The sequence below is a fragment of the Homo sapiens genome, chromosome 7 (genome assembly GCF_000001405.40).
Source record: "Homo sapiens chromosome 7, GRCh38.p14 Primary Assembly".
NCBI lineage: Eukaryota > Metazoa > Chordata > Mammalia > Primates > Hominidae > Homo > Homo sapiens.
The window spans coordinates 31,995,204-32,009,055 of NC_000007.14; the positions used below are offsets into that span (position 1 = coordinate 31,995,204).

Consider the following 13,852-nt stretch of genomic DNA (forward strand, 5'->3'; position numbering starts at 1 on the left):
TATAGGTGTAGCTACTGCCCAAAGGGTTCCTAAAATTACAGTGAGAAGAGAAGAGGAAGGGAGAGAGCCACTGCAGCCCCTCTTGGTCAGAGGTCTATTTTGTGAACTGCTTGATGGACAAGAGAGTCCATTACGCAATTTTTGTTTTGAAGACCCAAAACACAAACTTGCACGCCTACCTGCAATGATTCATCCTCCACCAAACCTGCTATGCCCAGAAGCCCTGTTTTACAGCAGAGAATATTTCTTCAACATTTTTCCAACTCTACATCTAAATCCATTTAACACTAAACCATTTTTAAAATTATGTTTAAAATTACAACATAATTATCATATTATGTTCCTATTTTTGCATCAAGTTTTTTATTGTTGTGCTTTGTTTGTTTTAGTCTCATTGCCTCTAGATTTTGGCTTTGGCAAAATTTATTGAATTGCTAGTTCCTCGTGGGCAAGAATAGATTTTCTACTCAACTTTGAAATTCCCCAAAGAACCTAGAAGAGTTTTACAGCTACACAGAGTGAATGCTGCTGAGAGCTGACGGGCCAACTGGTCTCCTAGCAAAGGGCACCAAATCTTAGGTCCAAAACAAACAAAAAGCATCAATTCTGAACTTTTATCACCATTCAGGCCAAAAAAATGCCTTTGTATTTGTTGATGGTTTCTGGCTGGCCCACATTCCCTCCATCTACTTGAAGTTCAGGCTGCCTATTTAGAGAGTAGAACGACCCTTGGCAATGGGTGCAGGAGCCAAAAAGCATAGGTTTCTTGGGCAGCCTGCATTACTCCGAGAGGGACATCTGTTTAGCAGGAAGCTTCCACTCTGTGCCAGCCTTCAGAACCATCTGTCTCTTTACGCTTCCGGACACACACACACACACACACACACACACACACACACACACTTCCATGCATTCACTGGGTGTAAAAACCAAGTTGAGAGAGAGAGAAGCTGGCAACATAGGTCTCCCTTGCAACAGAGCTTGGAGGGGCACACGAGGAAGAAACATCGTGATTACTCTATGGACTTTGCATCCCTGGATGGAGCAAAGTTTTCCCACCCCGCCCATACCCCTCCAGCCCAGCCCCAAGCTAGAACAGTAACTTACAGGCCTGAAAGACTTAATAAAGATCACCCACAATGATCTTCAAAACTAAATTTCAAGGCAGCAGCTCTGATATAAAGTCTTTACACACTCAGAAAAATGCCTCTCTTAAAACTGCTTTCATAAGAGGAAACTAGAGAGGCAAAAGGGAAAGTGTCTTTTGGATGGGTGACCTATTAATTACAAGGATTGGTTGGTCTGATGAGGCGATTATAGAATAAAGTCAGTGAGACTAAGGTCACACAAGACAGACACATGGAAGCCATGGGCTGGGAGCCTCAAGGGGCTTGTCCTACTAATGTCTGTGTGTGTGCACATGTAAGTGTCTGTACACACCTGTGAATGGAAGGACAGGACATAGAAACTATTGCTTAAATGGATCCAACATCTCTCTGCTGCTGCACATTGTAAAACTGACATCCAACATGAAAAATCTGTTTAACTGTTTGAAAAATGTTATAGTGATTTTATAATTTATACCTTATTTTAAGAAATATTTGAAAACTCAAGAAGTAGTTTAAAAAAGAGAAAAGACAGCAATAAGAAATTCTAAAAAGAAAGAGGGAGGTGATAGTACCAGATATCAGAGATGAGAATTACTGCAATTGAGCACTCAATCTGGCTCTGCAGTCAAGCAAAAAGAGAATAATGAGAAGTGACATAGTCCTCACCATCAAAGAAAAAGGAACATTATCAGTGCACAGAAAGATAGGTCTCTCTGGACTGAATTTTAGGAAAAATTTATTGCATAGAAATATACAGATAGACTAATAGGTGGGCAAATATTGACAAAACATTAAATAACAACAAACAGTGCTTCATGAAGCAAGTTAGTACAGAAGTTTTGGATATGGGCTTTTTAGTAGACAGGACTGGGTTCAGATTAGGAACTACAACATTGGACAAATTACTTAAGCACCTCAAGCTTTTAATTTCTTACCTCTAAAATGGAGGTGATGGTACACACCTCTCAAGGTTATCATGAGGATTAAATGAGATGGCACAGGTAAAGGATCTTACACAGTATCTGGCTAGTAGATGCTTAAGAAATGTTGGTTCCACTCCCATCCCTCACCCCCACTCACAATGGTTGGATTCAGGTCTTTTTGTGGACAGAACAAAAATCAGAGCCCTAATGCCCTTGAAGCATTTCCACAGAAAGCGTAGATACTACAATGGTCTGAATAAATTGCCAGTTAGAGGCAACAATAGAGCTTGGAGAACCTGGGGGGATGGTAGCTGGCCTGTCTCTTATACTGACAATGGTGTCAACACAATGAGGGAGTTGCTGAAGGGGTGTCAAGACTCAGCTATCTGGTAAGTACCTAAAAGGTAGATGCTGTCTGTTGCTCATCAAAGATAACTTGATATTTGAGACACCCATTGTCAAGCAGTGGGATTACCATTATTTGAGTGTTTCACCCAGATAGTGGACCATCCCACCTACACAGAGAGGGTTGGCTGAAGGCATGATTGTAGATAAAGCCATTTCTTTGTCTCAAAGAAAACGTACATGTGACCCTCTCAAATGCTTAGACAACGATGAATTGGGATTCCAAAACTCTGCATCATAGAGCACGGGAGCATAATTTGAACTTGGAATATATGAGAATAAATGTCCCTTACTTTAAAAACTACCAAAAAGTAAAATGCCTCTATGTGGCTGTTAGAAACATCTTATTTTTATTTTATTTTATTTTATTTTTATTTATTTATTTATTTATTTTTTTGAGACGGAGTCTCACTCTGTTGCCCAGGCTGGAATGCAGTGGCGCAATCTTGGCTCACTGCAATCTCTGCCTCCTGTGTTCACACCATTCTCCTGTCTCAGCCTCCCGAGTAGCTGGGACTACAGGTGCCTGCCACTATGCCCAGCTAATTTTTTGTATTTTTAGTAGAGACAGGGTTTCACCATGTTAGCCAGGATGGTCTCGATCTCCTGACCTCGTGATTCTCCCGCCTTGGCCTCCCAAAGTGCTGGGATTACAAGTGTGAGCCACCACACCCAGCCAGAAACGTCTTATTTTTAATAGCATTGTCACCAGATGGAAAAATGAATGCATGCATTATTGGATGCATTAGTAAATACATACCAATCTTTTACCATATGTATGACTCTATGGTAGGCCTCTGTGCATTTATTATGTCAATTAATTCCTGCAAAGGAAACCAAAGGTAATATACCGAATGATCATTGTCAACTATACTTGTACACATCTAGGTACAACTATAAGTTTATATTAGTGATCCATAAAAGAACTGTTAAACTAAATAATCCTTCATAATCAGGTATATGGTCTATAACACAGTTAAAGGGACAGAAGCAGAAAATGACCATTAGAAGAAAAATTATGGTAATTTAGTCATCATATACATCATGATTTGAACATAACTAACAATTTCATTAACACAAAAATTCTAATACTAAAAGTTCTTTAGCTAAATAATTAACCAAAATTTATTTCCACAGCCAAATCCCAGCCCCTGGCAAGTTTTATAATATCTGCACATTTTCTCAAATGATGAAAGCAAATCAACAGCATTAAGCCAAATCAACAGTTTAATTACAGCTACTCTCTATGCAAAATCCACTGCAACCAAGCAGGTCACAGCTGAGGTTGCTGTGTCACCTCCTAAAGACTGGGCTGCCAGAAAAACCTCAGATCATTTGCAAGTACTGAAACATGAAGGAAATTTGGGGCTCAGTAACAGAAGAACTGATATACTTGGAACATTTTCAGAAACTCTTTCCTATGCCGACCCTTACTCATCTTCCTGAAGACACAACCACTCATTCATTCAGTACTTCTGGCTTGCTCACTGTGTACCGGGCACTGTGCTAGGCATGTGGGGAGGGGACAGTTGGGGGCAGAGTCATATCAGACACAGGCACAGCCCCTCTAGAACTCACAGACATTCTCAGACCTAAGCATAAATTCAGGGCACAGTCCTATGGAAGTAAAGGGCTTAGAATCAAAATGCAGATACATTAATATGCAAATGTGCTTTTCATAAGAACATATCACAGGTTGCACACGCTCAAATTACACTTGGGAAAATGATCCAACATAACTGACACACACTATTACAACTCCGTTCAAACACCTATCCCAGGGTCCCACAGCCAGGGTAAGGGCAGGGGAACTGTGCAAAACCATGCTCAGTAGAGCCCAACAGAGCCTGGAAAAAGCACCAGGAATCTGCAAGACCCAGCTCTCTGACCCTGAAGCCACTTCACACTCAGCTTCAAGATAAGCCTCATATGACATTGATAAATTATTAAATCTGTTGATTGCATGGCAGATCAGGAGCCATAGAGTAAAAGGCACTCTACATGGATATAAAAACACCTTTAGGCAAGAGACAGATGAACTCAAGGTGAGATATCAACATTAACACACCACATGTTTTTACACTTTACCATATACAATTTCAAAACATTTACAATGAGACATGCCTTAAAGTTTTGGTAATTAAGGAACCCTCACACACAGAGCAGTCATGAGAGAGATTAATCATTCAGCAATTATTTACTGAGTTCAACAGCTGAGCATGGCTGTTGCTGGGGGAGAAAAGGAGACCCCAGGAGTGGTGGGAAGAACAGGCACAAGTGCTCCTAATACAGATTTCCATGCAGAGGCAGGGAGTTAGGGGGAGAGTTGAGAGAATCAGATTACAAAAACAGTTCTGCCACTACCTATGGCACAAATTTGGCAAGCTGCTCAGCCCCTCTGAGCTCCCATGTTCTCATCTGTGAAAAGGGAGATACCCACACCTACCTCACGGTCACTGTGAGGATTAAATGACAGCAGTTATGGTGACGTCCGGCAGTATAACTAGACTGTACTAATGTAAACTGGGCTTCACCGCTCAGGAAAGGGGGGAGCCTTTCTGTGCCTCAGATTTCCTCATCTGTAAAATGGTGATAACAGTCTCTTAAAAGGTGGGGTAAGGATTAAATGAGTAAATTCATGCAACGAGCTCAGAATGGTTGGTGGCATCTGGCGCATAGTGAGAACTCAAGACAAGTAGGCTCCTATCACTGCTATATTCCTGATGCTATAAGAGGGAAACAAGATGGTTGGGGGAAGGTTTGGAAAGAAGAACAGGATTTCACCAGGAAAGGCTGGTGGGGTAGAAGGCATAGGCGTGGAGCAAAGGGAGAAATCACAGAAGAGGCAGGAGAGTGGTATGGGAGACCTGAGCCCATGATGGCAGCCACACCCCTCATTATCTGTTTCTGCTTCACTCAGTTCCTGAGCTACTCACAAACATCGCAGAACCCTCTCACCAGCTCAAACACAGCCAGAGGAGTGGAAATCGGAGCTTTCATCATGGGGCAGGTGCCCAAGATGAGCCCTGGACACGCTCATGTCCCATGGGACTCTTCATATCCCCAGCCTTGCCCATTACCACCTCCAGCCTCCATTCTCTGCCGGGGATGTCTGGTACCCTGGAACCAGAGCCCTTTTCTGATGCCATTTAGTTCAAGCTCCAATACAGCCCCCACACCATTTCATATGGAATATATTTACTTTTTTGAATATATTTTTGCTTTTACAGAATATTTTCACAGGACATAATTTTTTAAACTCATCCCTGAAAAGGACTACTATTTGCTATCAAAAATAAAAAGGTCGAGATTGATCTCTCCACGTTTGTATACATGTGCCTGTGTGTGTATACGTGTGTGTGTGTGTGTGTGTGTGTATGTATGGGGAGGGTGGAGACAGCAAAAACACCAAGTGAAAAAACAAGGCATAGAATTGTACATAATACAATCACACTCTGTAAAAGAATGGATAGGCATATATGCCAGCATGTGAATAAGCATTCTTAAAGAATACAGAAGAAAATGTTTATGGTGATTTTTCTTTGGAGAATAGGACTGAGAAATCTACAGTGGAAAAAATACCAACTTTTCACTTACTGCACTTTTGTATGCCTTAAGTTTTTACTATGCATGTATACTATTTTAAAAGCTGTTTTTTAAGTGAGTTTTAAAAATAAACAAAAGATCCCATATCAGGAGTTGATTCTGATGCCTAAATAAAAGTACGTATTTCTGATACATAGCAAGCTACTGATAAGTGGCAGCTGCCTATGGCTCCTGTTATTATTTGTATTATTATCATGTATTACGGTTATTTATGTGCATGAGATCTTCCCTGTGAGGCTGTGAGCTCCATGAGCACAACTCCCATCAGGGCTGGCCCTGGAGTAACAGCGTACACACCAGCTCCCATAAAGGAGTTCATCACTGCAGACTTACTAAACCAACACCCACAGGAATGAATGACCTGACCAGCGACCCCATCATTGAGGGAGTAAATGCATCCTTATCTCCATTTTGCAGATGACGAAAAAGGTGTCATGTAAAAAAGTAAAAAAAAAATTAGGGGAGGAGCTCAATCAAAATCAAAATCCCAAGGCTCCAAGGCAGAACTTCCCATCAGCAAGCATTAAAACACAATAGGTCTGGCTGGGCACACCTGTAATCCCAGCACTTTGGGAGGCCAAGGCAGGTGGATTGCTTGAGGTCAGGAGTTTGAGACCAGTCTGGCCAACACAGCAAAACCCCACCTCTACTAAAATACAAAAATTAGCTGAGCGTTGTGGCAGGTTCCTGTAATCCCAGCTACTCAGGAAGCTGAGGCAGGAGAATCACTTGAACCCAGGAGGTGGAGGTTGCAGTGAGCTGAGATCGTGCCACTACACTCCAGCCTGGGTGACAGAGCAAGACTCTGTCTCAAAACAACAAAAAACCGCAATAGATCTGACTTAGTGCTGAAGACTAAGAGAGACCCCAGTAAAAACTGCAGTGGGAACTACTAAGATGTGAGCTTTCTAAAACAGGTCAACAACACTATTTCATTGTACACATATGTATGTAAGTTTCTCCCCTGACACTAATGAAGTCACCCTAGAGGCACACACACATGTTCATGGATTACAAACATGAAGCGAGTAAAAAAAAGAAACACATTCATAAATATCTACAGGGAGCACACGCAGGAGAGTCCTGCTACCCAGCCAAAGCAGGAGGCACCATGGAGCTGGCGGGCTGATGGCTGACAAGATATCACCTAGTTGAAGGTAGTCTCCTCCACATGACCTTGGGCAAGTTATTGATCCTCTTTGAGCCTCAGTTTCCTCATCTGTGAAAATGGGGTGATCCAGGTACCTGTGATCCACAGAGTCCACTTCGGGGATTAAATGAGAGTATAGGTGAAAAAGTAATTAGAACAGCGCCTGACATAAAAAGCACTTAACAAATGTTAGTTGTGTGGTTTTTGTTTCCAGTATTATTAAACAAAAACCATAGCCAGAGAATAAACACAACACACACACACCACCCCCATCCCAATAAGAATTATGTGCCACCTCTTATGAAATTTTGCACAGATTTCTATCATACTATTTATAATATATATTAAAATCACTGGTGTACAGATCTGTCCCTCTTCCTTTGAACTGGGTATTTCCTGAAACCAAAACAGGTTCTTAGTACCTGGAAAGTGCTCATATGTGTTTGTTTAAAATGTCAACATGGAATGAAAAAGTTTAAATCATTTGGACTAACAGAGTGATAACTACAAGCAATATTCTGAAAATTGAAATTCAGTTTCTTTTTCTTGATATCCTTTTAGATAGTTCACCACAAAAGTAGTATCTATAAATAAAGCTAACTTATGCTCTGAGGTCTACTAATATACTAAACCATCAGCACTATAGCTTCTCTTGATGGTCATTCAATTTCATTTCTGCAAAGTTTAAGCCTGCACATTTGAGTAAATGAATTCAATTCATCAAGGAGCCCAGCCTACGACAGAGCTACTCAGAGATCCAATCAACAGCTTCTCTCTGGAATAAGGAAATGTAGACTCCCTTTAATGAGTTCACTTGCTGGAATCAGTTCTTTTTCTCACAGATTAGGGCAATGGAGCACCCATAAAGGAATTGACAAGGGAAACTCTAGCTCATTTCCAGGAACTATGATAGAATTCTGTGAGTGAAGTAACTACTACTTCAATATCTCTGCGAATAGATGGTGAGATTGTGAGCTCCAAGAGTGCATTAATCACAAACCTTATTCTGTTTCTGTATAGTGCAATCACATTTGTCCTCAGATGCAACTGTGTGGTTCAAGATAAAACACTGTATAGTACAATGCTTATTGTCTTTAAATATAAGTTCCATCCATCATGGAAGCCAGACTCATTCCTCACCTAAAGCCAGTAATATGTCTTTTGGATAAAGTACAAACTTAGGGAGTTAATTACTTCATTACATTGCATGGCCCATCCATTATAACAACATAGCTATGACTGGATTCAGCTATGGTAGTCATTCAATCCAACCTCATTTACAAAACACAGTTTGTACCTACTGCCTCTACAGAGACTGTAGAAAAATGGTTTTAGAAGCCATTCATTCATGTTCTAGGAACTGTGTAATGAGTGCCTACCATATGTCACACACTGTTTCAGATGCTGTGGCTACTGAAGGAAAGAAGATAGAAAAACATTTTTACTCTTATGGGGTTTAATACTCATATGGAGTTAGTGAGAGTAGACAAAAAACAAATAAACAACTAATTTCAGATAACAATGTTTTATTAAGAAGAGTGAGGAAGACCTTTCTAACAAGGTGAAATGTGAATGATGAGAAAGGGGCATCTGTGAAGACTTCCCACTGTATGGAATGTAACGTGGCTGCTCTGTACGTGTTCATGTGGAGCTCTGTGGAAGCCATATTGATCAGTTTGCCACAAAGCCACAGCCAAGACAGGTAATGAGGACTCGAACTCAGTTCCTGGCACCCAAATCCCTGCATCCCAAGATCACTAGAAAGATCTTGTCAGACTTTTGGGTGCAGTTTAGATACCTGGGGAAAACCTCTGTTGTTTTACTGCCTATGAACACAAAATGGCCCCCAAAAAACCTGAAAAAAAAACCAATATAACAAATTAGACTATTTGGACCTCTCGTGATCTTATTAAAAATAATATCACTTCTCTAAATTTTACCTGAGGAGGAGTGAGCTACAAAGGCCTGGAAAAGGTAACCAAGGGGTCCATAGATGGAGTGGACTCTTACTGCATACAGGCCACCTGGCGTCCACTCCTCCTTTCCTCTGGCAGTAGAATACTCTTCAGGAACTGTTAAGGGATAAGCATCTGTCCCAAGCTCCGCTAGTCCAAGTGAGTCCTGGGGGTTGTGCAAGAGTTACTAGAGACTTTTTTTCCTGCTGGATTTGAACCTGGGGTCTTGTGAGGCCTAGCTGCAACAGATAAGCCTGGCAGAGAGCAGAGCCTCTTTAGAGCAGGGATGTAGGAAGATGGAGTAAGACACCTGGTCTCTATGCCTTCATCTGAGCTCCCAGATCAACCCAAACCTAAATCCAATATGCTCTCAGATTCTCCAATTCCTTTGTTAATAAATTGTGCTTTTATTTCTTATAATAATTTAAGATGGATTTTCTATCACATACCACAGAAATAGTTCAAGTACACATATTAGGTACATTTTCCTTAATACTAAATTATTGAGAACAGAATACACTTTTTAACATATTTGAAGAGCCACTTGTGAAGAAATCTAGATTGTTAGAGAAAACTGAGGTCTCTTCTGATTTCCATGAGGTAATTTATTTGATACATATTATGTGTTCATATTGGTGCTAGCTCCTATGGAGGATGAAATGGATAAAACATTGCCTCCTTGGACTCAAAGTGCATATCCTACAACCTAGCACCGTCACCAATGTTTTACTGATCCATAGCACTTTATTGGTTATAGAGCACCTTTAAAACATTGAACTTCAGGTCCGTAGAATTAGACTGAATTGATCAAAACCCCTGGCCATGAACTCTCATCATTACTCCATGAATGGCCCCTTTTTATCAAGTGCCCACTCACATCATCTCATTTCACATTCACAACTGGATAAAAATATTGAGATTCTGGCCGGGTGCGGTGGTTCATGCCAGTAATCCCAGCATTTTGGGAGGCCGAGGCAGGCAGATCATGATGTCAGGAGATCGAGACCATCCTGGCTAACACGGTGAAATCCTGTCTCTACTAAAAATACAAAAAATTAGCTGGGTGTTGTGGTGGGTGCCTGTAGTCCCAGCTACTCAGGAGGCTGAGGCAGGAGAATGGTGTGAACCCAGGAGGCGGAGCTTGCAGTGAGCCGAGATCGCACCACTGCACTCCAGCCTGGGCGACAGAGCGAGACTCCATTTCAAAAAAAAAAAAAAAAAAAAAAAAAAGAATTGTGATCTGAGAAATCACACAAACCTCACCAGATCCAGAATTTTAACTGTGTAAAAGAAGGGGTGTATGAGTGTATATTAGTATAAAAGAAGGGGTTCCTCCAATCACACTAGAAGGAACCACACCCAAATGGCTGGTGTGTTTGAAGAGTAGAACTAGAATAGACACTTCAACACTAAGCATACATCCACAGTCCTGGGGGTTGTTTCTGGTCTACTGCTAATTTGGCATTTTTGGATGTGCGCATTTTAAACAGGTTTTGTACAGATTCAGAATCTGCATTTGCTACCTTTTTTTTCTGCACGTACTGTTACTTACAGACACACTTACATGTTCAAGCCAGACTTAAATCAAATTTTTCCAGTACTATAAAAGATATCTTAAAGTATTCATGAAAAATATTTTTTTCAAGAGTCACTTCTTTAAAATGTCATTATTGCCTTTCTTTAGGGGCCTTTTCTTTTTGCAGATCAATAATAAGTCTATTGTTCCTTTCTTGGTTCCATTAGTTCTGACTGAAAAGTCAAACAGGTAAGAAAAGACACAGGAGTTTTATTTGTTTAATCTGGAAATAAAATCACCTAAAATAAATACCGTTGAAATTTTTTCAGGTAATTGATTTCTACTTCTTTGCCTGAAACAGCTCTCCTCTTGTTTTTTTGGCATGTTAATTTGGTGGAGTAGTTTCACTTTATAGGAACAATGCTCTCCAAAAGAATTAATGTTCTCTGGCATTGGCTGATCAATTTGAAAAAAAATTGTCTTATTTATCTTAAAATAGAAAATCCTCCCCCACACTATACAATACAGGGGTAGAGGATATAAGATGTCTTTTTACAGGAACGAAATGTTTCTACAGTGGTGAATGTTCACAGGGGAAATAAGCCATGGTTTGGGTGTCAGATCCTTCAGACACCACCAGTAGAACTGGGTCAGAGGCCCTGTGTCCAAGGAGGGCTCCATTGCCAGGCCCATCACTTACAGCTGGTACTAGCAGTACAAGATGCAGTGATGCCATTTCCCTTAGAAGGATAAGAGCTCAATGTTGGAATGTTTTTCTTCTACTCATAGGCACAGCAGGAAACAAAACCGTGATGAAATTCCATAAACAGGCAAGCTGGGTATGGAAGAAACGTGGTTGATGCTGGCAAAGAGCTGCACTTATGGCCAACAAAGGTGAAAAACAGAGAGAAATTGTGGCCCATGAAGCCACCAAAGACAGTAAAAAAGAAGAGTGCCATGATGCAAAGTGCTCCATCTATGGAGTCACCCAAGGCAGGTCTAAATCTTGGCTCTGCCACCCTCCAGCTACAGTGCTCTTAAGCAAGACAAAAGTACCAAAAGCCCAGCATCTGGCATATCAATACTTCAGTGGTAGAGGACTCCCTACCTCCCCCGTTACATTCACTTTCTGTGATGCTCTTTGGTGTAATCATAGTCCTATGTCTTCCAAGATTTATCTTAATTTTTATGACATTTAAGTACATGCACCATGACTAAATAAGTGAGTATGAAATTTGGAATTCCATCAGCAACCTATTTTTTATCAAATTAGTTTAACTAACTCTATTAGGACCCAAATAGATCTTAAAGACAAATTTATCTGGCTGTGTCAGAGTCCATTGCTTGCCATTTTCTGTTCAGTACCACTGTCTGTACATAGGCCATGTGTCCTAAAAAATAAGCTGGACCCTCAAAAATGTCGCACTAACTCTTTTCCCCCAAAGAGCCACCTCAGCACGTCTACCACACTGGCCTCCTAGCTCTACTTTTTTTCTAGCAAAGCTTCAGCCCACTGACTTTTAAGATATTGTAAATCAGATCAGTTTTACAATCCTGCTCTTGTGGCTGGGATCAGGAATATGAGCAAAGGAGGCCACGAGAAGGAATCACATGTGTAAAAGGTGGCTTGAATTATTATTTTTTAAAATATCATGGAGGCTTATTATGAGACAAATCATCAAGATAGCTGACAATAGATATAATGTTCAGCCACTTCAGGTCTTTGCCTTTTCTGTCCACACTATATTTATTTGCACACAAATACCACCAATGCCACTACCACTGTCACTAGTCCCAATTAGCCTTATTGTTCTCCATAGCATTGAGCACAACTAGTCATTCCACGTATTTTACCTTTTTATTTTCTTTATCTTATGCCTCATTCTACCAGCATGGAAACTCAAATAAATCATTGATTTGTTTATTTTTCATTTGTGCACCCTCAATACCTAAAACAGTACGTGGCACAGGGCAGGGATTCAAAAAGTGTTTGTTGACTGAATGGTCAGATCTATTATTTTTTGAGACATTCTCTCTAGAAAGACTATCATGGGGAGTAGAAGCTAATATAATAGGAATTTTAGAACAAAGCATTTCAGAGAACTTTTAAGATAAGTGGTAAAAATGTTTATCTACAAACAAAATATCCAGATATCAATTCAAGCATGGTTTTTGGTATTGTTTTCCACCATTCCTTCAATGAATACTTACAGCAAAAACTCCTATACAGCTGTCTTCTATAACCCTGTGGCTATTCAGACCCAATCTACCCATGAGCTACATGCCAGATATAAAAGCAGCTATGGATGATCTAGTGGCATTTGCATCAAGCCCCATGCCACTACCTCACTGGCTTAGCTTCCAAACCACTGGTATTTTATTCCATGTCCACCTAGTTTCTGCCTCTTGACTGCCTCCCATTTTCATCACAGCTTGCATCCTCTGAATTTGTTGACTTGATGCTACTTCTAGGCTTGACCTTCACTGTTCATCAAGGTTTCTAGGTTAGGCACGTTCCATTAAGGATCCTTTCCACACATGTCTTCCTTGGGTAGACAAAGGAACTCGAGGTCCAGTCTCTGATGAACTACACTCGAGTACAAGTGCACCTGCCAGGTCCACCTTGGTCCCTACTACTGGGTTCAGGGATTTAAACCACAACACTATTTCATAGGTCACCAACTTGAAGACACATGAAAATCTGGTTCAAATTAACCATGAACTGAAGGACACCTCCAGTCAATATGTCACACATAAAAATCCTATAGGCTAGTGATTTCCAGCCTGGGCTGCAAGAACATCTGGGGAACCTCAGCGATTATTGCAAAGGAGTTTGTGAATTCATACGCACATCTGCACTGTTAGTGAACTGAAAAAAAAAGACATGACTATATAACAACATATGCTTTGCCATGTTTCAGCATCAAATAGATGCTACCATGTTTTATCAAATACAAGCATATTGAAATGTATTGATTAAGTTACAAAAGTTTGTTTACCTTACGTGTAAATCAATAGATATTAAAGGTCCAAATGAAGGGTTCAAAAATATTTTGATATCATAAGACAAAAAAAAGGCTATAGATTCCTCCAAGTTAGATAATGATGACTAGACTCTTAACCAAGATACAGAATAATGCAAGATTATGGGGGAAAATATGGCAGATTCTGCCCAAAATGAAGAATCA

The 13,852-nt window shown here is 40.5% G+C and overlaps 1 protein-coding gene across 27 annotated transcripts in view; it reads right to left on the minus strand.

Annotated features, from left to right (window-relative positions):
• The window catches only part of PDE1C (phosphodiesterase 1C), an 811,448-nt gene that overhangs the window by 378,427 nt on the left and 419,169 nt on the right, over positions 1-13,852 (minus strand). The window contains exon 1 of one of the 27 annotated variants that reach the window (XM_047420445.1): positions 1-13,852. This exon is cut by the window's left edge and continues 15,918 nt beyond it; it is cut by the window's right edge and continues 18,551 nt beyond it. The gene's annotated coding sequence lies outside the window, so the exon portion shown is untranslated. 27 annotated transcript variants of the gene reach the window in all.